At 46.9% G+C, this 26,412-nt stretch overlaps 1 protein-coding gene across 2 annotated transcripts in view; it reads right to left on the bottom strand.

The window, feature by feature from the left end:
- CACNA1B (calcium voltage-gated channel subunit alpha1 B) overlaps positions 1 to 26,412 on the bottom strand; it is a 246,838-nt gene that overhangs the window by 189,414 nt on the left and 31,012 nt on the right. For both annotated transcript variants that reach the window (NM_000718.4, NM_001243812.2), the window contains exons 4-6: positions 21,935 to 22,026; positions 20,400 to 20,552; positions 17,775 to 17,965 (exon numbers count right to left, since the gene is read on the bottom strand). In NM_000718.4, the coding sequence (NP_000709.1) occupies positions 17,775 to 17,965; positions 20,400 to 20,552; positions 21,935 to 22,026 (436 nt within the window). The remainder of the gene's footprint in view (positions 1 to 17,774; positions 17,966 to 20,399; positions 20,553 to 21,934; positions 22,027 to 26,412) is intronic.

The following is a 26,412-nucleotide window of genomic DNA, read 5'->3' as shown; positions in this document are numbered from 1 at the left end:
TAACGAGTGCAGCAAACCAACATGCCACAGGTATACATATGCAACAAATCTGCACGTTGTGCACATGTACCCTAGAACTTAAAGTATAATGAAAAAAAAGAAAATTTATCCCCTCATTTCTCGTATCATTTTTTGACTTCCTTAAATTGGGCTTTGCCTTTCTCTGGTGCCTTCTGATTAGCTTAATAACTAATCTTCTGAATTCTTTTTCAGGTAAATCCGGGATTTCTTCTTGGTTTGGACCCATTGCTAGTGAGCTAGTGTGATTTCTTCGGGGTGTTAAGGAACCTTGTTTTGTCATATTGTCAGAGTTGGTTTTCTGGTTCCTTCTCATTTTGGTAGGCTCTGTCAGAGGGAAGGTCTAGGGCTCAAGGCTGTTGTTCAGATTCTTTTGTCCCATGGGGTGGTCCCTTGATGTAGGTAGTACTCTCCCCATTTTCCTAGAGCTGTGGCTTCCTGAGAGCTGAGCTATAGTGATTGTTGTCTCTCTTCTGGATCTAGCCATCCAGCAAGTCTACCGGGTTCTGGGCTGGTACTAGGGGTTGTCTGCACAGAGTCCTGTGATATGAACTGTCTGTGGGTCTCTCAGCTGTGGATACCAGCACAGTATTTTGGGTATCTCCCAGGTCCTGCTGGAGCAATCCGCTTCCTTCAGAGGGTCTATGGGTTCTCTCGGCTTTCCTGATTTATTTCTGCAGTCATTCTGGAGCAAAAGTTCACGATACAATCCTCCACAGGCTGCTCTGGCCATCCGAGTGGGAACTGCAATCTAGTCCTGCCTCCCGTCTGCCATGATCTCCAAAATGAGAAATCAGGTACTTGTTAAAACATGGAAAGAGGGATCACCTGCTCAACTATTGCAACCCAAATGGAAGGGACCATTTTCAGTGGTGCTGGACAAGCCTTCTGTGGTCAAAGTACTAGGATTAGGTAGTTGGATCCATCTTTCCAGGGTCAAGCCTGCAATAACTGAAGCCCTGGACCTGGAACCTGAAGCTCCTATCAGCCACTACACCTGTGAACCTGTGGGAACAGTGAAGTACCTGTTTAAAAGACAGCCGAAAAATAAGTAAATGCCTACCAACTTTCCTTGGTGTCTTTGTTGCATACTTATCGTAAGCTGGATATTGGTAGCTATTTTTTATATTTTTACAATTTGTTTTATTCAAAATGGATGGAATCACTTCCTTTGTAATAATTAACCAAAGTGTTTCAATTCATTTTTATAACAAGCATTCCTGACAGCATAGGTATCCACCCCCTGAAGTTCCCATTCTATAGGACAAAATAACAAATAAGTAATTTTTTTTTTGTTCCATAATGGTCACCCACAGCCTGTGTATACAGGAACCATGTCTTACTAGCAATCAGCTTTATTTCACAACAGAGCTTCCCTTTACCCCTCCAGCAATTAGTGGATTCTGGGTATTTATTAAGAACTTTAAATTTAACACAAAGACTTAAATACCACCAGCCCAGCCCTGGCAAAGGACTGTTGGTTTTGTTTATCTCCATCATCATCTAAATATACTGCCATCCTGATCCCAGCCCAATCTTGGGCCCTTAAGGAAATGACCTATCACCCTAACTACAAAGGAGGAACTCTCTTCAAACTAATGAGCCTGGATGACATACATGAATTCAAAATCATGGAAATGACAAGGGTTACAATGACAGGATAAGCAGTAAACCTACTCCAATCCCATCTGAGCAACCTTTCTGGAGTTGCATCCCCTCAGAAACCAATTTGGGGCCCAATATAAATGTACACAGAGCTAAAATTGCAGGTGCCACTTTGTATTAACAGAAGCGAAAATTCTGGTCCGGTCCTTGGAACCTTGAAAAGTCATCAATGTGCCGGACGCGGTGACTCACACCTGTAATCTCAGCACTTTGGGAGGCCAAGGCGGGCAGATCATGAGGTCAGGAGATTTGAGACCACTCTGGCTAACACAGTGAAACCCCATTTCTACTAAAAATACAAAAAACTCACACCTGTAATCCCAGCACTCTGGGAGGCCGAGGCAGGCAGATCATGAGGTCAGAAGATTTGAGACCATTCTGGCTAACACAGTGAAACCCCATTTCTACTAAAAATACAAAAAACTAGCCGGGCGTGGTGGCACGCGCCTGTAGTCCCAGCTACTCAGGAGGCTGAGGCAGAAGAATCGCTCGAACCTGGGAGGTGGAGGTTGCAGTGAGCTGAGATCGCACCATTGCACTCCAGCCTAGGCGACAGAGAGAGACTCCATCTCAAAAAATATAATAAATAAATAAATAAATAAATAAAAGTAAAGATAAAATAAAGTCATCAATGCAACTACACCCTGGAAGTTAATCCTTCACTCGATTACGTAAGCTATACAGTTACCCAAACCGCATCATTTAGATAACCTGTACGGTTTTCATGGAAACCATCCCTGGTTAAGGGCTTTAAAGGATGGACAGCCTAAGTATGGTCGAGGCAGGCCCACTAGCTGCATTCACGGTTTCCCTTGTGAAGAATGTACTAATCCTGAGACGTCTAGTTGCCTTTTGGTTCCCCAGTATGAAAATACCTCTGGGTGATTGTTACTGGACACTAAGCCTAACTACCTCCACTGGGAAAAGAGAACTGCTGGGGCAACTCAAGATACTTCCCAAGATCCTTTCCAGCCTTTAACCAGGGCCACCTTAGCAAAGACCTCAACCATATGGGAAAGTGAAAACAACAAGCTAGCCCATGTGTTCACCATAGAAAACAAGTTCTGTCTTGAAAAACAAGGAGCCTTTTTCCCGTGCGGGACCAGTTCCTACTTAGATTTACCAGCCAACTGGACTGGAACCTGTAACTTGTTATTTAGCTCCCAAAATTAATGTAGCTCCCAACAACCAATTCTTCACTATACCTTTAACTGCAACCACCAGACACAAATGAGCCATCCAACTCACACCCCTTTTGGTTGGGTTAGGAAGAACAGCAAGAGTAGAAACGGGAGTTAGCAGGCTTGCAATCTCCCTATCCTATCACTAACTTGTCCAGAGATTTTATGGAAAGCTCAGAAGACACTGCCCAAAGTATCGTCGCCATACAAAATCAGACAGACTCCTTGGCAGCAGTCACTTTACAGAATTGAAGGGGACTGGATCTCCTAACTGCTTAAAAAGGTGGCTTATGTCTTTTTCTAGAGGAAAAATGCTGTTTTTATGTCAACTAATCAGGATTAGTAAGGGATGCCGCCTGGAAATTAGCTGACTGGGCCCCTAAGATACGACAACAGCTGTCTGAGTCATGGGGCTCCTGGTCAGAAATGCTAAGTTGAGGTGCATGGCTCCTTCCTCTAGCCGGCCCATCACTAATGACTATATTTGCCTTGGTTTTTGGACCATGTTCATTAAATCTCTTAAACAAATTCATTTCCTCTCGCCCAGAGACCATCAAGCTTCAGATGATCATGAGACAAGGTTTCCAGCCAGTTCCAGGTAAAGACACCACCCCTGGCCATCCAGCAACTACCATGTCTCCACTAGACAGAGCAGGGTGAGAGTTCCATGATCCCCAATAGGTAGGAACTGTGCCCAAATCAGCATGAAGCAGTTACTGAAGAAAAAACCATCAGTCCCTCGGCCTCCTATAAAGATGATGGGGATCACATCTCGGGGGAAATGAGGCAGGAGAATAGGGTCTGGAGGCAAGGAACCTAAGGCCGATTTGTGCTGACTTCCTAGAACTAAATCAAAAGGAAAACTCCACCTCTCCACATCCAAGTAACAAAAGAAGAGGCTACTCCCTTTGCAACGCCCCCCATTCCACTGTATCGCAGACGAAAAATGGAAAGTACCTGATTGGTCGCCTCCCATGACCAATCAGAATGGTAGAGGGCCTGGTCTTCATTTACACAGGGTGTAAGCAGCTAACCAATGGGAAACCTCTAGAGAGTATTTAAACTCCAGAAAATTCTGTAACCAGGGCTCTTGAGCCGTTTACGCGAGCCCGATCCCACACTATGGAATGTACTTTTGTTTCAATAAATCTGTGCTTTCATTTCTTCATTTCTTCATTCCTTTGTTGCTTTGTGCATCTTGTGCAATTCTTTGTTCAAACCGCCAAGAACCTGGACAACTCGTAGTCAAGACCCTCCCCAGATAATACCATCTAATGTAGAAGATTCCTTCAGTGTGGAAGGGTGAGGCTGCAATGAGCTGAGATTGCACACCATCACACCACTAAACTCCATCCTGGGTGACAGTGAGACTGTCTCCAAAAAAATGTAAAAATATAAAAAAAGATTTATACAAAGATTAATTTTTTTAAATTGGAGTGGCTAGATTAATATCAGATAAAGCAAACCTCCCAGTAAAACAAAATTACCCGAGACACAGGGAAACATGTATATAATGATAAAAAGGTCAATCCATCAAAAAAAAATAGCAAGTCTAAATATGTGTATACTCAACAACAGAGCTGCAAAATAAGTGATACAGAAACTGACAGAACTGAAAAGAGAAACAGACAAATCTGCAATTAAAGCTGGAGACTTCTACACCTCTCTCTTAACAATTTGTAGAATAGACAGAAAACCAGCAAGGATATAAAAGAGCTCAACAACACCATCAACCAAAAGAATCAATCAACATCTGTACATGCAGCACACAACAGCAGAATATACATTCTTTCCAAGTGCCCACAAAATAAATATCAAAATAGACCATATTCCGAGCCATGTAACAAACGTCAACAAATTTAAAATTAAAATTCTTTCAGTTTAGTGTATTCTCCCACCACAATAGAATCAAACTAGAAATTAATAACAGAAAGATAACAGGTAACTCTCCAAACACAAAGTAAACAAGACAGTTCTATATAATAATCTCATAGGTCAAAGAGGAAATTTCAAGGGAATTTAAAAATACATTGAACTGAATGAAAGTGAAGAGACAACACATCAAATTGCAGGACACAGCTAAAGCAGTGCCAGAGGAAAACATATAGACCTACATGTCCACCTCACAAAAGAAGGAAGTCTAAATAATCATCTAAACCCCCAGCGTGAGCCACTGCGCCCAGCTGACATTTCTTCAAAGAAGATATACAAGTGATGAATAGGCTCATAAAAGATGCTCAACAATGGCTGCATGCGGTGGCTCATGCCTGTAATCCCAGAGCTTTGAGAGGCCAAGGTGGGAGGATCACTTGAGGCCAGGAGTTCAAGACCAGTCTGGGTAACATAGCAAGACCCCACCTCTACAAAAAAAAACAGTTTTAAAAACTTAGCCAGGCATGGTAGCATGCGCGTGTGGTCCTTGCTACTTCGGAGGCTGAGGAGGGAGAATCGCCTGAGCCCAGGAGCTTGAGACCAGCCTGGGCAACACAGGAAGACCTCATCTCTACAAAAAATTTAAAAATTAGCCAGGCTTGGCAGTGTGCACCTGTGGTCTTGGCTACTCTCCCAAGCTGAGGTGGGAGGATTACTTGAGCCCAGGAAATTGAGGCTACAGTGAGCTATGACCATGCCCCTGTACTCCAGCCTGAGTGACACAGTAAGACCCTGTCCCAAAAATAAAAATAAGTCACTTTAGAAATGCAAGTCAAAACTGAACAGAAATACCACTTCATGCCCACTAAGATGGTGAAAATTGTCTTATTTTTTAGTTTTATTATTACTGTTTTAAAGACAGGGTCTCCCTCTGTTACACAGGCTAGAGTGCAGTGGCGCTATCCTGGCTCACTGCAGCCTCCAGCTCCTGGGCTCAAGTGATCCTCCCACCTCAGTCTCCCGAGTAGCTGGAACTACAGGCACACACCACCATGCCTGGCTAACTTTTTAATGTTTTTGTAGAGACAGGGTCTTGCTATGGTGCCCAGGCTGGTCTCAAATTCTTGGGCTCAAGTGATCCTCCCACCTCAGCCTCCCAAAGTGCTGGGATTATAGGCATAAACCACCACTCCTGGCCTGATGGTTAAAATTTCAGACAGACAACAAATGCTGGTAAGGATGCAGAGAAACTGGAGCCCTTGTGCACTGCTGGTATAAATATAAAATGGTACTGCCACTATGGAAAACAGTTTGGTGGTTCCTCAAATGGTTAAACACAGAGTTCTATGATCCAGTAATTCCAATCCTAGGTCCATACCCAAGAGAAATGAAAACATATTCCTTGCAAAAACTTGTGCAAGAATGTTCATAGCAGCATTAGTCATAATTTTTAAAAGTGGAAATATCTAAATGTCCATCAACTCATGAAATATAAATAAAATATGCTATAAATACACAACAAAATCATACTTGACAAAAAAATACCAATACTTGCTTCATCGTGGATGTAAAAACACAAAAGGCCACCGATTGTATGATTCCATTTATATAAAATGTCTGGAATAGACAAATCTACAGAGACAGAAAGGTTAGTGCTTGCCAGAGGCTGTGGGAATAAGGAAATAGGGACTGATGGCTCATGGATACAGGGCTTCTTTTTTGGTTAATGAAAATGCTTAAAATTAGATAACAATGATGGCTGCACAACTTTTTGAACATACAAAAAACTCTGAACTGTAAACTGTAAACTTTAAAATGGTGAATTTTATGGTACACAGATTATATTGCAGCAAAAGTGTTATTTAAAAAAAAGATCTCCAAAAAGAAATTTCTAAGCCCAGAGAGTTTCACAGTAGAATCCTACCAAACGTTTTTAAAAGACATAACACATTTCTATACAATCTCTTCCAGAAAACAGAGGAGGAATAAATACTTCCTGATTTATTTTATGAAGCTTGTGTTACCTTGATACCAAAACCAGACAAAGGCAATACAAAAAAAGGAAAATCATAGGCCAGGCACGGTGGGGCTCACGCCTGTAATCCCAGCACTTTGGGAGGTTGAAGCAGGCAGATCACAAAGTCAAGAGATCGAGACCATCCAGGCCAACATGGTGAAACACTGTCTCTACTAAAATACAAAAAATTAGCCAGGCGTGGTGGTGGGTGCCTGTAGTCCCACCTACTTGGGAGGCTAAGGCAGGGGAATCCCTTGAACCTTGGAGGCGGAGATTGCAGTGAGCCAAGATCACAACACTGCACACCAGCCTGGTGACACAGCAAGACTCCGTCTCAACAACAACAACAAAAAAAGACAAGAAAATTACAGATCAAAATCCCTCATGAATATAAGTGTAAGACTCCTTAGTAAAAATGCTAACAAATACAATTCAGCAACACATAAAGAGAATTAGGTACCATGACCATGTGGGATTTATTCTGGGAATGCAAGGCTGGTTCAATATTCAAAAATCAATGTAATTCACCATATTAACAGACTAAAGAAGAAAACTCACATGATCATATCAGTGCAGAAAACACATGTGACAAAATTCAACACCCATTCAAAACAAAAACTCTCAGAAAAGTAAGAATAGAATAGAGTAGAACTGCCCCAACTTGATAAACAGCATCTACCTCAAAAGAAAAAACAACAACTCAACCGTACAGCTAACATTATACTTAATTGTGATAGATCAAATGCTTTTTCCTAAGATTGGGAGCATGGCAAATATGTCAGCTCTCGCCATTCTTACTCAACATAATGCTGAAGTTTCTAGCCAGTGCCATAAGGCTACGCACATAGATCGAGATACGCAGACCAAGGGGATAGAATACAGAGTCCCAAAATAAACTCTTGCATATATGGCCAAATGATTTTTGACAAGAGCGTCAAGACCATTTTATGGTAAAAGGACAGTCTTTTCAGCAAATCCGAGGTGGGCGGATCACCTGAGGTCGGGAGTTCAAGACCAGTCTGACCAACATGGAGAAACCCCGTCTCTACTAAAAATACAAAAATTAGACAGGCGTAATGGCAGATGCCTGTAATCCCAGCTACTCAGGAGGCTGAGGCAGGAGAATCACTTGAACCCAGGAGGCGGGTTCCATTGCACTCCAGCCTGGGCAACAAGAACAAAACTCTGTCTCAAAAAAAAAAAAAAAGAAGAAGAAAGCTGGATCCTTATCTAACACCATATACAAAAATTAAATAAAAAATGGATCAAAGACCTGAATGTGAGACCTAAAAAAAGTAAAACTCTTAAAAGAAAACATAGGTCAAAAGCTTCACAATATTAGATTTGACAGCGACTTCTTGGATATGACATCAAAGGTAAAGGCAACAAAAGAAAAAACAGACAAACTAGACTGCATGAAAATTTTAAAATGTTGTGCATCAAATGACACCATCAATTCAGTAAAAAGGGCACACATAGAATGGGAGAAAATCGTAAATCATATATCTGAAAAGGATTATACTCAGAATATACAGAGAATGCCTAAAACTCAACAACAACCAAAACAACAGATTCAAAAATGGGCAAGGAACTCCAACAGACATTTCTTCAAAGAAGACATGCAAATGGCCAATAAGTGCAAGAAAAAATGCTCAACATCACTAATCATTAAAGAAATGCAAATCAAAACTACAAGCAGATACCACCTCACATACATTAAAATGGCTACTATCAAAAACACAGAAATTAACAAGTATTGGTGAGGATGTGCAGAAATGGAAATGCATGTGTATTCCCACCAAAAGGTGGGAATGTCAAATGGTACAACTATTGTGCAAAACGATACAGCAGTTCCTCATGAACTTAAAAATGTAATTATCATATGATCCCTCAATTCCACTTCTGGGTATATACCCAAAAGAATTGAAAGCAAGGTCTCAAAGAGATATTTATACAACCATGTTCATGGCAGCACTCTTCGTAAGAGTTAAAACATGGAAGCAACCCAATGGTCCATTGACAGAGGAATGGATAAGCAAAATGTCATACAATGGAATATTACTCAGCCTTAAGAAGGAAGGAGGTGGCTGGGCGCAGTGGCTTACACCTGTAATCCCAGCACTTTGGGAGGCTGAGGCAGGTGGATCACGAGGTCAGGAGTTCAAGACCAGCCTGGCCAAGATAGTGAAACCCCATCTCTACTAAAAATACAAAAATTAGCTGGGCACTGTGGCAGGTGCCTGTAATCCCAGCTACTCGGGAGGCTGAGGCAGGAGAATCGCTTGAATCCAGGGGGCAGAGCTTGCAAGTGAGCCAAGATAGTGCCACTATACTCCAGCCTGGGCGACAGAGTGAGACTCCGTCTCAAAAAAAAAAAAAAAAAAGAAAGGAAAAAAGGAAGCCAGGTACAGTGGCTCACGCCTGTAATCCCAGCAATTTGGAAGGCCGAGGTGGGCGGATCATGAGGTCAGGAGATCAAGACCATCCTGGCCAACATGGCGAAATCCCGTCTCTACTAAAAAAAAAAAAAAAAAATGCAAAACTTAGCTGGGCATGGTGGCGCGTGCCTGTAGTCCCAGCTACTCCGGAGGCTGAGGTAGGAGAATGGCATGAACCTGGGAGGGGGAGCTTGCAGTGAGCCGAGATTGCACCACTGCACTCCAGCCTGGGCGACAGAGCAAGACTCCATCTCAAAAAAAAAAAAATGGTTACGATGGTAAATTTTATGTTATCGGTATTTTAGCACAATAAAAAAAAAAGCAGATCCAAAAGAAGAAATAAACTGTTTCTGTTTGCAAATTGTATGATTATCAACATAGAAGATCCCAAGGAATCTACAAAAAAATCTCCCAGAACTAATAAGGGAGTTGGTAAGGTTGAATGATCAAGATCAACATACAAAAGTCCATTGTATTTCTATATACTAGCAATGAACACATGGACACTGAAATTTAAAATACAATACCATTTTCTAATGGGAACAACATAGCAAAGGTTGCTGCCTAGGTGTTAGAACACCACACCCAAAACGTGGCCAGAGATAAGAACTTAGAGGCATCTCTCCCACCTAGCAGACTACACATTTCTGCTGCCTCCTTTAAACAGACCATTCAGGCATTCGCCCACAAATTTAAAGGGACCCACACCCTATTCCCTAGCATGGCCAGTTGCCTCCCCCTATACCTCTCTGACTCTTCATTACTGCCTCAGATAACCTGGGGAGGGAGGATGGCGCTCCCCACTCACGGTGCCCTCCCTGCCGATCTGTAGGTAATACATCGTTGAACTTATTTCCTGTTGTGGTGGTGACTGAATGTGTGCCTTCCATCTGAAGAACCAGGGCTACCCTTGGCCAGGTTTTCCCTGGGGAACTAGGATGGGCTCCCAACACTGCAATGCTGGTCAGGCACAAACCAGACACGGGTCGGACAAGAGCCACAAGGATGTCTGCCAGTATAAACAAGCTTCCTGTATCAGGAACCCCCTGGTCACAGGCGGGACAACCAGGCACTGGCTGCCTGCCAAGTAATCCAAGTATCCCATGAAGGGTACACTGTCAACACCAAGGTCCGCTTCCTTTCATCCCCTGTGAGGGCAGGGTTGCTGGACACTCTAGTACTAGAACACCAGTTTCTCCAGGGGTGCTCAAAACACATTAGAATCATTCAAAGAAAATAAGAAAACATAATAGCTACAAATCTAACAAAATGTATATTGTATGCTGAAAACTACAAAATGCTAATGAAAGAAATCAAACATGATCTAAATATATGAAGAGAAATAACATGTTCTGATTGGACATGGAACATCCAACATAGTAATGATGTCAATTCTCCCAAACTGAATAACATGGAAAGAATCAGTCTAACCTGACTTCAAAACATATAGGTAACTACAATAAGCAAGACTACGTGGTATTGGCAGAGAGAAAGACACGTGGACCTGAAATAGACCCACATAAATATGTCCAGCTGATTTCTGGCAAAGGTACAAAGGCAATTCAATGGAGGAAATACAGCCTTTTCAACAAGGGGTGTTGGAGCTACAGGAAGGAAGGGAGGGAGGGAAGGAAGGAGGAGGGGAAAGAGGGAGGGAAGGAGGGAGGGAAGGAGGAAGGAAGGGAGGGAGGAAGGAAAGAAGGAAGGAAGGAAGGCAGGCAGGCAAAAACCTCACACTTTTATTAACCTAAAATAGATTGTAAACTTACATGTAAAATATAAAACAATACAACTTTTAGAAAAAAAAAAAGAAAATCTTCAGGATTCAGGACTAGGCAGAGTTCTTACAGTTGACACCAAAAGCCCAATCCACAAAAGGATAAATTGATAAACTGGACTCGATCAAATTTTAAAAACATTTGTTCCATGAAAGACCAGGTGAAAAGTATGAAAAGATAAGCTACTGACTAGGAGAAAATATTTGCAAACCATATATATGACAAAGAACCAGTTCCTAGAATATATAAAGAACAATTCAAACAGAACATGGGCAAAAGATGTGAAGAGACGTTTCACCAAAGATACACAGATGGCAAATAAGTCCAGAAAGATGCTCAACACCACTCACTGTTAGGACATGCGAATTAAAACCAGTGATGTGTCACTATACCCCTATCAGAATGGCTAAAATAAAAAAGTGTCACCACCAAACACTGGCCAGAATGCACAAAAACTGAACTATTCACACACCACTGGTGGAAATGTAAAAGAGTGTAGCCCTCTGGAAAAGCTTTGGTTTCTTAAAAAACTAAGCATGCAACTACTATACCTAGAAATTTGCACTCTTTGGCATTTATCCCAGAGAAATGAAAACTTATGTTTGCACAAAAATGTGTACAGCAACTCTATTCATAATAACCCCAAATTGGAAGCTTCCACAGGTGAACGGTTAAACAAGCCATGGTACAGCCATAGCACGGAATACTACCTGGCACCACGGAATACCACCTGGCACCAGGGAATACCACCTGGCACCACGGAATACTACCTGGCACCACGGAATACCACCTGGAGCCACGGAATACCACCTGGAGCCATGGAATACTACCTGGCACCACGGAATACCACCTGGTGCCACGGAATACCACCTGGAGCCACGGAATACTACCTGGCACCACGGAATACCACCTGGAGCCACGGAATACTACCTGGCACCATGGAATACCACCTGGCACCATGGAATACCACCTGGCACCACGGAATACCACCTGGCACCATGGAATACCACCTGGCACCACGGAATACCACCTGGCACCACGGAATACCACCTGGCACCACGGAATACTACCTGGCACCACAAATTGACACCTGGCACCACTCAATACTACCTGGCAGTAAAAGGAAACATGCTACCAACACCTGGGTGAACCTCCAGAGAATTTTGTTTGAGTGAAAGCAGCCAGTACCAAAAGGTTACATTTGGTGTGGTTTTGTCCACGTAACATTCTCAAAATGACTAAATTATAGATATGGCAAACAGATTAGTGGTTGCCGGGGATTAAGGAGGGGGCGAGGGCAGGAGAGATGCGGGTGTGACCACAAAAGGGCAGCAGGAGGGACCCCTGCAGGGATGGAGATGCTCTACGTCTTCACTGTGTCAACATCATTGATACTGATGTATCAACATCAATATCCTAACTGTGACCCTGACTATAGTTTTGCAGGTTGTCACCACTGGGAGAAAAGGGTAAAGGATGCATGAGCTATTTCTGTATTTCTCACTACTGCATGTGAATCTACAATTATCTTAAATTAAAAGTTTAATTTTTTAAAAGCCCATTCCCTTAACCCCTGTCTCCCTGCAGTTACTTCCCACTGCTCTGCTCCCTCCAAGAGTCATCTGCGGTTGCCACCCTGATTTCCTCACCTCCTCCTCCCTGTAACCCACGCATTCCAGGGCGTTGTCCCACCACTGAGACCGCCCTTGCCAAGTTTACCAACAACCTTCCTCTTATCAAACGCAACAGTCCGGGCTTCCCATCTTCCTTGACCTCCAGCAACATCTGGCCCAGCTGATCATGTTCTCCGAACGCTTTACTCTGCTCCCAGGATGCTGTGTGGTGTGGTGTTGATCATGTTCTCCGAACGCTTTACTCTGCTCCCAGGATGCTGTGTGATCGCGGTGCTGATCATGTTCTCCGAGCACTTTATTCTGCTCCCAGGATGCTGTGCGGTCGTGGTGCTGATCATGTTCTCCGAACGCTTTACTCTGCTCCCAGGATGCTTTGCGGTCGTGGTGCTGATCATGTTCTCCGAACGCTTTACTCTGCTCCCAGGATGCTGTGCGGTGTGGTGTTGATCATGTTCTCCGAGCACTTTACTCTGCTCCCAGGATGCTGTGTGATCGCGGTGCTGATCATGTTCTCCGAACGCTTTACTCTGCTCCCAGGATGCTGTGCGGTCGTGGTGCTGATCATGTTCTCCGAATGCTTTATTCTGCTCCCAGGATGCTGTGCGGTCGCGGTGCTGATCGTGTTCTCCGAACACTTTACTCTGCTCCCAGGATGCTGTGCGGTCGTGGTGCTGACCATGTTCTCCGAACGCTTTACTCTGCTCCCAGGATGCTGCGCGGCTGCAGTGCTGATCATGTTCTCCAAACACTTTACTCTGCTCCCAGGATGCTGTGCGGTCGTGGTGCTGATCGTGTTCTCCGAACGCTTTACTCTGCTCCCAGGACGCTGTGTGATCGCGGTACTGATCGTGTTCTCCGAACGCTTTACTCTGCTCCCAGGATGCTGTGCGGTCGTGGTGCTGATCGTGTTCTCCGAACGCTTTACTCTGCTCCCAGGATGCTGTGCGGTCGTGGTGCTGATCAGGTTCTCCGAACGCTTTACTCTGCTCCCAGGATGCTGTGCGGTCGTGGTGTTGATCATGTTCTCCGAACGCTTTACTCTGCTCCCAGGATGCTGTGCGGTCACGGTGCTGATGGTGTTCTCCGAACGCTTTACTCTGCTCCCAGGATGCTGCGCGGCTGCAGTGCTGATCATGTTCTCCGAACACTTTACTCTGCTCCCAGGATGCTGTGCGGTCGTGGTGCTGACCATGTTCTCCGAACGCTTTACTCTGCTCCCAGGATGCTGCGCGGCCGTGGTGCTGACCATGTTCTCCGAACGCTTTACTCTGCTCCCAGGATGCTGCGCGGCCGTGGTGCTGACCATGTTCTCCGAACGCTTTACTCTGCTCCCGGGATGCTGTGTGGTCGTGGTGTTTTTCCTGCCCCCTTAAAAGCTCCAGCCCCATCTCTTTCGTGGCTCCTGCTTTCCTACTGGACCTCTGAGTGCTGGAATTCTCCCCAGTATCAGCCTTGGGCCTTCTTTTCTCCATCTGCACTTATTACCCAGGTGATCTCATCCTCTCACATAGTTTTAAACACTGTCCATGAGTCAAGTACTTCAAATGCTCATCAGCCTGCTGTTCCCTCTGAATTCCCTCTCAAACACCCACCTACACACCCAAGATCTCCACTTGTATGAAAATAGTTATCTAAAGTTTTGCAGAGCCAAAACAGAATCCTGGAGTTCCGCCACCACCCTCTGCTATAACAAAACTAAGTAAATTCGTGTCTCCCGATTCTCCCTTTCTTAGTAAATGGCATCACCTTTCTCAGTGCCTCAAGTCACATCATCGTTGAGACTTCTCCTTCTCTCACATCCACTCTATGAGCAAGGCCTGTTTGTGCTAGCATCAAAATGCAGCTATGGATCTGAACACTTTCAAACTTGGATCTTCACGGAACTAGTACAATGAACATAAGCAAAGCATACGTGCATAATCATAAAGCAACATGATTTACCTCCACTGCGCCTCCAAACATGGTCATTGGAGAAATCCTTCCCATGCCCCTAGATGATAATTTGGACAAGCCCATGACCATTCTGACAGCTCCTGGGTAAGGCGAAGTTCTACAGCCACTTTCAAGTGGAAAATACAGTTTCAACTCGGCAGTTGAAAGTGTTCAGGCCAGGTGTGGTGGCTCATGCCTGTCATCCCAGCACTTTGGGAGGCTGAGGCAGGTAGATCACTTGAGGTCAGGAGTTCAAGACCAGCCTGGCCAACATGGCGAAACCCTGTCTCCACTAAAAATACAAAAATTAGCTGGATGGGGTGGCTCGTGCCTGTAATCCCAGCTACTTAGGAGGCTGAGGCATGAGAATCACTTGAACCAAGGAGGCAGAGGTTGCAGTGAGCCAAAATCGTGCCATCGCATTCCAGCATGGGAGACAAAGCAAGACTCTGTCTCAAAAAAAAAAGAAAGTGTCCAGTCTCAGTCTCAGCTGGCCATCAAACTGACATGCTTCACCATGACAATACCCACTCTCGCTGGCTGGCCTGCCACAGCTGGTTGCTTTCAGTGGAAGAGAAAGACACGGCCCCTCTTTGCTCCCCTGTACCCAGCACTATCACAGCAGGGGAGGGAGAAGGGACAGCTGTTATTCCTCGTGCGGTGCTGTCCTGAGATGATCTCACCTCTCTGGACCTAACAGGAATTTACTGCCGACTCGTCTCTCCCCAGGCTCATCCGTGTGTTCTCCCAAAGCTCCATTTGACTCCGCCTGCTTTTCCAGGCACAGACAAAGCCATTTCTCCTCAAGCTGGAGTGCCCCCACGCTGCCCCACCCGCTGCCACCAGCTTTTCAGCAATCCACTCTGAGACCCCATCACTCACCCGGTCCTGGCTGCCCGCTGTTGCTCACACCCCCACTCCTGCTCCCAACACGGACTGAGCTTTCCATCTCTCTGCCTCCACCCCTACTGCAGGCCGTGGGCTTCCGCCCACAAAGAACCCAGATGTCATTGCTTGAAGGAGCGTATATCCGAGGGGCCACAAAAGTCCCTCTCACTGGGTTGGAGGTGAGGGGCGGGCTCTCGCTCTCTCCAAAGGATCCTCTTCAAAACTCCTGTCTAATCTCCAGTGACCGACCCTGTATGCCCTTAGTGTGGAGGAGCGGACTGGTCGGTTCTTGGCTACCTGCTCTGGGGCCTTGTGTGGCGCCAGCCCCAGGCACTGCCATGACTGCATCTTGCTGCCCCGGCCAAGCTTCCAAGGTGTTGTAGCATCTGCATGTCTGGTTTCTAGACCTCACCAGGCCTTGCCCTCCCAGTACCCTGTACCTCGTCACTGCCTGCTCCTCAACCTCTTCTGTTTTCTTCACGGCACTCGCCACTGTCCATGCCCTTACGTGTCGAATGCCTCTGCTCACCACTGTGTAAGCGGAGCCAGCACTCACTGGGTCCTACTGAAACACATGCTGGCTGAAACCTCTGTGGCCCCTCCTGGCCAGTGCTGCCTGCCCCAGGATGGGGCTCCTGCCCATCCCCTCCTGCGGGAGGCAGAGACCCAGGCAGAAGAATCTGAGTCATGTGCGGCCCCTGGCCAAGCCCCAGTGGACACTGAGGGCTGTGGAGACCTGGTCACACAGTCCTTCATTTGGGTGGGGCCAGCAGGAATGCAGCCAGCTCAGAGCTATTTTTAGGGTCTGTCTTTGTGGGAATTGTTCCTTGATTGGCTACAGAGAGAGAACAGCCAAGCTCCTCATCACCGGCTTTGTCCTGTTCCTCATTCCCTCAATCACACAAGCCTGTCATCAGACACGACTCCCACTCGAGGAGGAATCTGGTTCACATGGACCCTGTGCTGGCTTTTCCTTAACTCCTCATCTGCCATCTGCCTGTTCAAGAAGCTTGATAAACGAGCTCAATAAGCATTTAGCAAATGCCTGCTGAATGCCCAGCCCTATCTCCATGAACGCATGAGGCACAGGGCAAAGGGCCCCAGTCTCTCCCCAGGACCTGTCCACCATCATGCCACCAGCCCTCATGAGCACAGCTGCTGGAGGCTGGGGAGAGAGGCACAGGCTCCCAGGCACACGTGGACCAAGCTTCACCCCAGGGCACAAGTAACAAGCTCTAGGTGAAAGCACCTTGCACTCCGGCCCCCTCCCCACCCTGACAGCACCTGAGGGGAACACATCCTCTAGTTACTCAAAACCTAGCACCCCTCCCAGATTCCTGACCCACAGGCGCCTGACCCTTCTCCACCTTCCACAGCCCCTCAAGTACTAACTTAATTATTCTCATGCCCTGGTAGCTCACAGGACTCACAGAGGGGACAGACAGCAGCAGAGGCCTTCCTATAAAGAGGCAGATCTGCTCAAGAGTCGGTGGTGGGGGGATGGGAGACTCCACCAAGAAGGGACCCAGGCAGAGGCAACGTGAGGGAGCTGGGCCATCAGGCACCCCCCCCAAGCCTTATACTCAACTTCAATCATGGCCACCAAATCCAGGCTGCCGTAAACTGCAGAGACAGGCCGGCATCCTGATGAGAGCGAGGAGACCAAAGAGGAAACAGGACCAGACAGACTCGGCATGAAGGAAACAAATGCACAAGCCACAGGCTCCACTCTAAGAATCCCTGCGTGACCGAGGAAGGTCTTGGGGGCCTCGGCCCTGCTCCGCGGTTCACCACCTTCGCCGGGCAGCCTGGGGACGGGAGGCCCAGCAGCCCTACTGTCCCTCAACTCCAACAGAGACCCTAGAGGGGTGGCACAGCAACAGCTGCCCATGGTCCTCGGGCTGGAGAAAGTTAGTCAGCTTCTCCACAAGTCAGCCTCATCATCTGTGCAACAGGTTCCTGAGAGGAGTCAACAGGAATAAAACACTTCCCAGAGGGCCTAACCCAGAGCAGCTAGCAGTGCTACTATCGTCCTTGCCAACAGAAACAGCAGCATCTCCTCTGGAGTTTTCTTCTCTGACCTCCACCAGTCAGCCTTCTGCTTCATTTTCACGAAGGAGTCAACTCCAGGAGGACCCACCTCAGGAGTCTGAGCTGAGGCTGCCTGTGGTGGACCCTTGGGTGGGGCGTCTGCCGGAAAGAGCCTGCATTTCATCCTAGGGGTGCAGGGAGGAGCCTAGGGCTGGGCAGAGGCTCTGAGGTCAGAAGGGCCCCCCTAAATGGACCCCCAGAGGCACCAGCTCAGGAGGTCCAGGGCCTGCCCTCAGGCCCAGGGCCAAGACGCCACTCACATTATAGAGGATGTCAGTCCAGCCCTCCATGGTGATGCACTGGAACACCGTCAAGATGGCAAACAGGATATTGTCAAAGTTGGTGATGCCAAAGTTGGGTCCTGGCCAGTACTCCCGGCACTCAGTGTCGCCCTCGCACAGCCGGGCTGGGGCCTCCTTGCCACAGGGGAAGTCACCCACGGGCTCCGCATCTGCAAGAAGGAGAATGAAGCAGACCCTGAGCTCAGAAATACCAAGCTCTCCAATCCCCACCAGGATTCCTGGGCTCTGGAGAGCTCACAGCAGGTGGGCAGGAACCAGCCACCAACAGAAACTCTCCCTCAACTTCCCACCATCCCTCCTCGAATCTGCATCAGGCATCGCCTCTTGCTGACCCCGAGCTCACGAGTGACCAACTCAGGGAGTAACGGCTGGCCTCTCCCTCCTACTGGAACCTGCCCACCATCACTTGATGGTGGGCTCACAGCCCATTCATCTTAAAACTAAAAACAACAAACTCCTAACCTCCCATTCTTCCCACCACCCTGACCATTCCTCTCCCTCACAGCCAAACCGCCACGCTGATCGTTCCTCTCCCTCACAGCCAAACTGCCTCCCTCACAGCCAAACCACCACGCTGACTGTACCTCTCCCTCACGGCCAAACTGCCACGAGGACCGTTCCTCTCCCTCACAGCCAAACTACCTCCCTCACAGCCAAACTGCCACGCTGACTGTACCTCTCCCTCACAGCCAAACTGCCAGCAATATCCTCCTGACACGCAGATCTAACTTGAGGCCCTTGGCCAGTCCCAAGCTGGACTCAGCCACTGTGCAGTCTGGTGCCTGTCAGGCAGGATGATCTGGAACCAACCGAACATGTACCCGGAGGGTGGCTGGAGACCTCCTGGCCCAGGTCTCGCTGCACTGACCCTACAGGGCGGACATCCTTCTACTGTGCTGAAACCGAGCAGGCAGCCAGGGACCAGAGAAAGAGGGGTTAAAGAAAGACCAGAAAACCACTGCTAATCTCTGGAACAAGATAGCAAGCAGCACGTTTACCCCCTTCACTCTCAAAAATCTCAATGAAAGGCCGAAAAAAAATATTTTTAAAAAATGCAGGCCAGGCACGGTGGCTCACGCCTGTAATCCTAGCACTTTGGGAGGCTGAGGTGGGCAGATTGTCTGAGCTCAGGAGTTCGAGACCAGCCTGGGCAACATGGTGAAACCCTGTCTGTACTAAAATACAAAAAATTAGCTGGGCGTGGCACCATGGGCATGTAATCCCAGCTACTCGGGAGGCTGAGGCAGGAGAATTGCTAGAACCTGGGAGGCGGAGGTTGCAGCGAGCCGAGATTGCACCACTGCCCCCCAGCCTGGGCAACAGAGTGAGACTCCGTCTCAAAAAAAAAAAAAAAAAAAATTGTATAACAACACATGAAAATATCTATCAACATAGGAGAAATTTTGTGGAGTTGCTCAGCTGGAAAGCAAATACTCCCAGGTTTAGAAGGCAAAACTGACTACCTAAGTTTATTCCTCTCTGTCCAAATATCTTGATAAATGCTGGTAAAGAAGACTAAGAATAATGAGTTTCATCTCCTCCTTTCCAGTTCTTTTTTTTTTTTTTTAACTTTTTCTTTTTCTTGTCTCATGACCTGGCCATGACTACAAATGCTACGTGGACTAGAAGTGACTTGCTTTTGTTCTTGACTGTAAAGGGAAAGCTCTCAAGGCTTAGTTGAGGTATGGTATTTGCAGGAAATCTGCAGGGATTTAAGAAAATTCTCTTTTATTTACAGTTGGATTAAAGGTTTTTGTTTTTTTTTTAAAATCACGAACGATCTAAATTCTAGTAAAACCTTTTTCTAAAAGTGCTGGGACTATAGGTGAGCCACCGCCGGCTGGGTTTTCTCCTTTACTAAGTTTGTAGTTCAAGCCACAAACCTTAGCTTCATCCTTAACTCTTCTGTTTCTCTTACCCCCACATATAGACTCTCAGAAAATTCTGTTGGCTTTACCTACAAATACACCCATAATTTGACCCATTTTAACCACCTCTATCACAACACCCTGGCCCCAGCCACCATCACCTCTGCTGGATTGAGATCTTCTACTCAACTCCCAGGAGCAGCCCGAATGATCAGAAGATGCCACACCTCACTCAAAGCGCTCCACTGTCTTCCCGTTTCTCTCAGAATAAGACAGGGCCATGAAGCCCACATGATTCCTCTTGTTCTCGCTGCTCCGCACCATAGGCCTTTGCACCTACTACTACTACTACTGGTAACTGAAGTTCTGCCCAGGTGGCCACACGGCTCCAATCTCCCTGCATTCAGATGCTGCTCGACGGTCACCTTGGCAGAGTTGGCCTCCTGGGCCCCTCTGTAAAGCAGGCCCCAAATTATTCTATTTCAAATACCTTTTTGTTTTCTTCCCAAAAGTTACTACAATCGATAATTATTATATTTCTGTGTTTATTTACTTGTGTTTATCAGGCTATCGTCTATGTCCCCCACTAGAATGTCAGCTCCACCTCATGTATCTGGCACCAAGAAGGCCCCTCTAGCACCTAGAACAGTGCCCATCTCCTGGATGAACGCATCCGTGGCACTTGCCTGTGCTGGAGGGTGCTGCCTGGCCTCACCTGTGCTGTTGGGGAAACAGGCCTTGTGGAACTTGCCCATGTAGAACTCCAGGCCAATGATGGCAAACATGAGGATGGCAAAGAAGAGAAGCAGCCCAATCTGCAGGAGTGGAACCATGGCCTTCATGATGGACTTGAGCACCACCTGCAAACCTGGGGCCAGAACAGGGCAGGTCAGGAAGCAACGTGGGCAGGGTAGGGCAAGGAATTTGGTGGGGGCAGGGACAGAACAGCAGGAACCTAGCAGGGACAGCAAGGTGCTAAGCAGTGAGTGCTTGCAAGGGCAAAGGATAGAGCTGAAGCCCCTTAAGGCGCAGAGGGGCAGAGAGTGCTTGTGTAGGGCAGAGCTGAGAGTCCTAGGGACAAAGCATAAGGTCCTAGAGAGAAGTCGACTGAGAAGTGTCTCAAAGTAGGCAGAGGAGTGGGATGTGGGGGTGTCAGGGTATGAAGTCTGGGGTGGGGAGTGGGGCTCAGGGTGGGGCAACAGAGAATCCTGAGAGGAAAGAGAATGAAATCCTGAGAAGGAAGAGCCAAGTCAGAGGACATCCTGAGAGGAAAGAACAGGGAATTCTAGGAGGGAAGAGCAGAGAATGCTGGGAGCTAAGGGCAGGGGATCCTGGGAGGAAGGAGCAGAGAATGCTGGGAGCTAAGAGGAGGGGACCCTGGGAGGGAAGAGCAGGGGATCCTGGGGGAGAAGTACAGGTATTCCTAACAGACCCAACTCCTTGGGAGAAAGTGAGGCAAAAAAGACCTGCCCCTGGGAATGTTCTGCCACTGGCCATACAGCATGTGAGGAACTGGGCAGAGGAGCCTGTAAACCTTGACCCCTCCCCTTCGAGTCTGGCCCCAGCACTTGGATATGGGCCAGAACCATTGCCTGGCAAGGTCTCAGGGTAGAACAGGGAGCCAATCACGGGTCTTCCCTCAGTGGCCTCAGGAGGACACAGCTCTAGTTCCATGTCCACTCAGGCCCTTAGGTAAACCTAAAACCAGACTTCCACTGGGCTGAAGGAATAGGGGTCCAGGTGGTCACTGGCTCATGAGGTCACCCTGGCCATCCTCCTGCTCATGGCAGGCTCTGTGGGCAGCCCACTTCAGGAGCATGTCTTAAGGCTGGCCTCAGTCCCCAGTGGCCCTGACAAGACTGAGCCAAGAGACAAGTGGCCCTTTGCAGCTTTTGCACATTTTCTCAGGCATCCTTCCCCACCACCTTGGTCAACCTCTCATCCATTCTTTACCCTCAGAAAAAGAAGCAAAATGCTGAAATGTGACAGAGTATGTGAGGAGGAACAAAGCTTCCATCTAGGGAAGCCAGGTCAGGGTAAAATAACAGCATCACCCTGTGGGCTTTCATGGAGGGTGTGACAGGCCAAAAAAGGCCTGCTCCTCCCTTCCTCCTGCCTGGTTCCCTGGGGTCAAAAGTGGCAAGCTCAGAGTCACCAAAGCCAAACCATGGCCATGGCCATGTCCGTGGTGAGGGTAGGAGAGGAGGTTGTTACTCCAAGCCGGCTTGGGCCTGTCTTCGCTGGACTCACTTGGAATCCCAGACACCAGCTTCAGGGGCCTCAGCACACGCACAGCCCTCAGTGTTCGCAGGTCGAAGTCAGTTCCAGCCGTGGCAAGGATCCTGGCAGAAACAAGGAGAAGAAGGGAAGTAAAGGTTTCCACATTGAGCCTGGAAGAGGACACACTCCTCCCACCACCAGGGTCATGTCTCCCAAGAGCAGTGACACCTTCATTCCTGTGTCCCCACTGTCCAACCACAGGGCCAGCACCTGTGTCCCCCCACTGTCCAACCACAGGGCCAGCACAGAGCGGCTTGCCAGGTGAGAGGAGGCAGGAACTGAATCCAGAAGCGCTCACAGGAATGTTCACAATCACCCACATGACCAAACCTCCAGTTCAAAGGCACCATCTCTGAATAGACACTTGGCCCCTGGCATGGCAGGAAATCTGTCTACCAATTGAGTTTAAGGCTGACCCATATCCCCTAACCAACCCCAGCTGCACTTCAAGCTGCCTTCTGAGAGGAGTGGAGACTGAGAGCAGGAGCAGGATGGAGCCTGAGGGACTCCTGAACCGACCCCCATATACCACCATTCTTTCCCTTATCTCAGGAAGACAGGGAAGTGGGGTATTGGAAAGGTGGAATGAGGAAGACACTGTGGTCAGTTCTATTAGCAAAAAAACATATCCCAGTATCTCCCATCTTAAGAACAAAACTAAAGATCCCATATCTGCCTTCTACCACAGAGCATTTCTCTGTTCCCTTCCCATCAGAACTCACGGATGGTGTCAATCCTCGGTCTCACCACTTCCTTATCTTGAGCTCTCTCATTAGCTTTCTCCAGCCAGGTTCTCACCCACCTCTCCACTGAAATGCTACCTCAAGCCTTCCTCTTGCCAATTCTAACGGTCAAGTCTCCTTTAAAGGGTGTGGTCTCTTGCCTTAGGCCAACTCTCTCCTGTTTTCCTCCCACTCCCTGGGGGCTCCTTCTTAGTTTCTTTTGCCAGCTTTGCCTTCTCTGCCAGAGATTCAAAACGAGGGTGCCCCAAGGCTCATTCCATGTAGGAGCTACCCAATAGCTTTGAGTATCACGCATGTCCGTTATTCCCAAGTGTGTATCTTTAATCCAGACCTGGAGCTCTAGGCTCATATATACAACTGCCTTTTTAACAGTTCCATATGGGTATTTTAAAAAGCATATGAAACATTACACAACTAAAGAATTATTTTTTTCACTTTAACACAAGTATAAAAGATGTACCTTTTTTCTAAAGTTCAGAGTTGTTACATCACAGTGACTAAGAAACTTTCTATTCTTACTTCCAGTCCTGCTCCTTCCCCCTTTGTTCCCCTCAGCGGATCGCACCAGTCACCTATTGTTTAAACCAAACCTGAAACTTCATCCCTGACTCCGGTCCTTCTCTCATATGCCACGTCCGGGTCACCAACAATCCTGCTGGCTCTGCCTCTAACGCGCATCCAGGGTTCTTGGCGAAGGCTTTGTGATCACCCGCTCCAAACACATAGCCGTAACAGACAAAATCTGAGACAGAACTGGGGGTCAAAAATAGGATAAATATCGGCCGGGCACAGTGGTTCACGCCTGTAATCCCAGTACTTTGGGAGGCCAAGGCAGGTGGATCCCCTGAGGTCAGGAGTTCGAGACCAGCCTGACCAACATGGTGAAACCCCGTCTCTACAAAAAAAAATACAAAAACTAGCTGGGCGCAGTAGCGCATGCCTGTAATTCCAGCTACTCGGGAGGCTGAGGCAGGAGAACTGCTTGAGCCCAGGAGGCAGAGGTTGCAGTGAGCCGAGATTGCGCCATTGCACTCCAGTCTGGGCTACAGAGCGAGACTCCGACTCGAATAAATAAATAAAGAAAAGATAAATATCTCAAAATAAAAAAAGAAAAAAAGGACAATAAAAACCCTTCTATTCAAACCAAAATGCCAGGTTACCTGAGGAAGCCCAATGCTACGGGAAGACATTCAGCAGGATCAACTATTGAAAGAGGAATTTTGTTCAGATAAAAACAGTAAACTATTAAACAAAAACAGGTAGAAAAGGTAGAAAATTTAAAACTAGCTAGATCAACGGAATAGAATAATAACCCAGAAATAAACCCCCACATATATGTCAACTGGTTTTCAACAAAGGTACCAAGACCATTAAGTGGAGAAAGAATGATCTTTTCAACAACCAAGCAGAATAAAGTTGGACCCTTACCTTACACCAAATACAGAAAGTAACTCAAAATGGATCAAAGATCTAAATATAAGAGCTAAGACTAGAAAACTCTTAGAAGAAACATAGGGGAAAATATTCATAACATTGGATTTGGCAATAATTTCTCGGATATGACACCAAGAGCACAGGCAATAAAAGAAAAAATAGATTAGATTGAACTTCATCAAAAGTAAAAAGTTCCGTGCATCAGAGCAAGGGTCCCCAACCCTCAGGCCACAGACCAGTACTGTTCTGTGGCCTGTTAGGAATCAGGCCACTCTGCAGGAGGTGGCGGCAGGCGAACGAGCATTACTGCCTGAGCTCCGCCTCCTGTCAGATCGGCGGTGGTATTAGATTCTCATAGGAGCATGAATCCTACTGTGAACTGCACATGTGAGGGATCTAGGTTGCACGCTCCTTATGAGAATCTTATGCCTGATGATCTGTCACTGACCCATCACCCCCAGATGGGACCGTCTAGTTGCAGGACAACAATCTCAGGGCTCCCACTGACTCTATATTATGGTGAGTTGTATAATTATTTCATTATATATCACAATGTAACAATAATAGAAACAAAGTGCACAATAAATGTAATAACGCACTTGAATCGTCCCAAAACCATCCCCCGACCTCTGGTCTGTGGAAAAATTGTCTTCCATGAGCCCAGTGCCTGGTGTCATAAAGGTTGGGGGCTGCTGCACCAGAGGGCACTATCAAAAAGTGAAAAGAAACCTACAGAAAGGGAGAAAATATCTGCAAATCATATCTCTAATAAGGGATTAATATCCAGAAAATATAAATACTCTTACAACTCAACAACAATAAAAACAACTCAATTTTAAAATGGGCAACGGACTTGAATGAACATTCTTCCAAAGAAGATACACAAATGGCCGATAGGTGCACGAAAAGATGCTCAACATCACTAATCATTAGGGAAGTAAACATCAAAACCACAATGAAATACCACTTCATACTCACTAAGATAGCTATTATTGGCCAGGCGCGGTGGCTCACACCTGTAATCCCAACACTTTGGGAGGCCGAAGCAGGCAGATCACCTGAGGTCAGAAGTTCAAAACCAGCCTGGCCAACATGGTGAAATGCTGTCTCTACTAAAAATACAAAAATTAGCCAGGCATGGTGATGGGGGCCTGTAATCCCAACCACTTGGGAGGCTGAGGCACAAGAATCACTTGAACCCGAGAGGTGGAGGTTGCAGTGAGCTGAGATCATGCCACTGCACTCCAGCCTGGGTGATAGAGTGAGACTCCATCTCAAAAAAAACTAAAAATGAAAAAAAAAAGTTAAACATAGAATTAACATAAGATCCAGCAATTCCCCTTCTAGCTATATATCCAAAAGAATTGAAAGCAGGACTCAATCAGATACTTAGACAGCAACGCTCATAGCAGCGTCACTCACAATAACCGGAAGAGGGGAGGAACACAAATGTCTATCACCTGATGAATGTGTGCGCACAATGTGGGGCATGCACATGAATAACTGTTCTTCCTCCACAAAAGGAACGACGCTCTAATGCTGCATTTGCTCCAGCATGGATGAACTTGGGTAACATTATTCTAAGTGAAATAATCCAGACACAAAAGGGCAAATAACATACGCTCCCACTTACATGAGGTACCTGGAAGAGGCAAATTCATAGAGACAGTAAGTAAATTAGCGCTAAGCCAAGGCTGAAGGAAGGGAAGTGGGGAGTTCTTGCTTAATAGGCACTAAGTTTCTGTTTGGGGCAATAAAAAAATTGGAAATTGCAAAGCCGGGCGCAGTGGCTCACGCCTGTCATCCCAGCACTTTGAGAGGCTGAGGCAGGTGGATCACCTAAGGTCAGGAGTTTGAGACAAGCCTGACCAACATGGAGAAACCCCGTCTCTACTAAAAATACAAAATTAGCCAGGCGTGGTGGTGCATGCGTGTAATCCCAGCTACTCGGGAGGCTGAGGTGGGAGAATCGCTGGAACCCAGGAGGCGGAGGTTGCAGTGAGCCGAGATTGCACCATTGCACTCCAGCCTGGGCAACAAGAGCGAAATTCTGTCTCAAAAAAAAAAAAAAAGGTTAAAACAGAAAACTTCATGTTATACATATTTTACCACAATTTTTAAAAATTAAAAATTTAGCCAGGTGTGGTGGCTCACGCCCATAATCCCAGCACTTTGGGAGGCCGAGGCGGACGGATCACGAGGTCAGGAGATCGAGACCATCCTGGCTAACATGGTGAAACCCCGACTGTACTAAAAATACAAAAAAATTAG

This window comes from Homo sapiens, chromosome 9 (genome assembly GCF_000001405.40).
Source record: "Homo sapiens chromosome 9, GRCh38.p14 Primary Assembly".
In the NCBI taxonomy this organism is placed as follows: Eukaryota; Metazoa; Chordata; class Mammalia; order Primates; family Hominidae; genus Homo; species Homo sapiens.
Note: the sequence above shows the minus strand (reverse complement) of the source record. Positions and strands in the feature narration are given on the sequence as shown.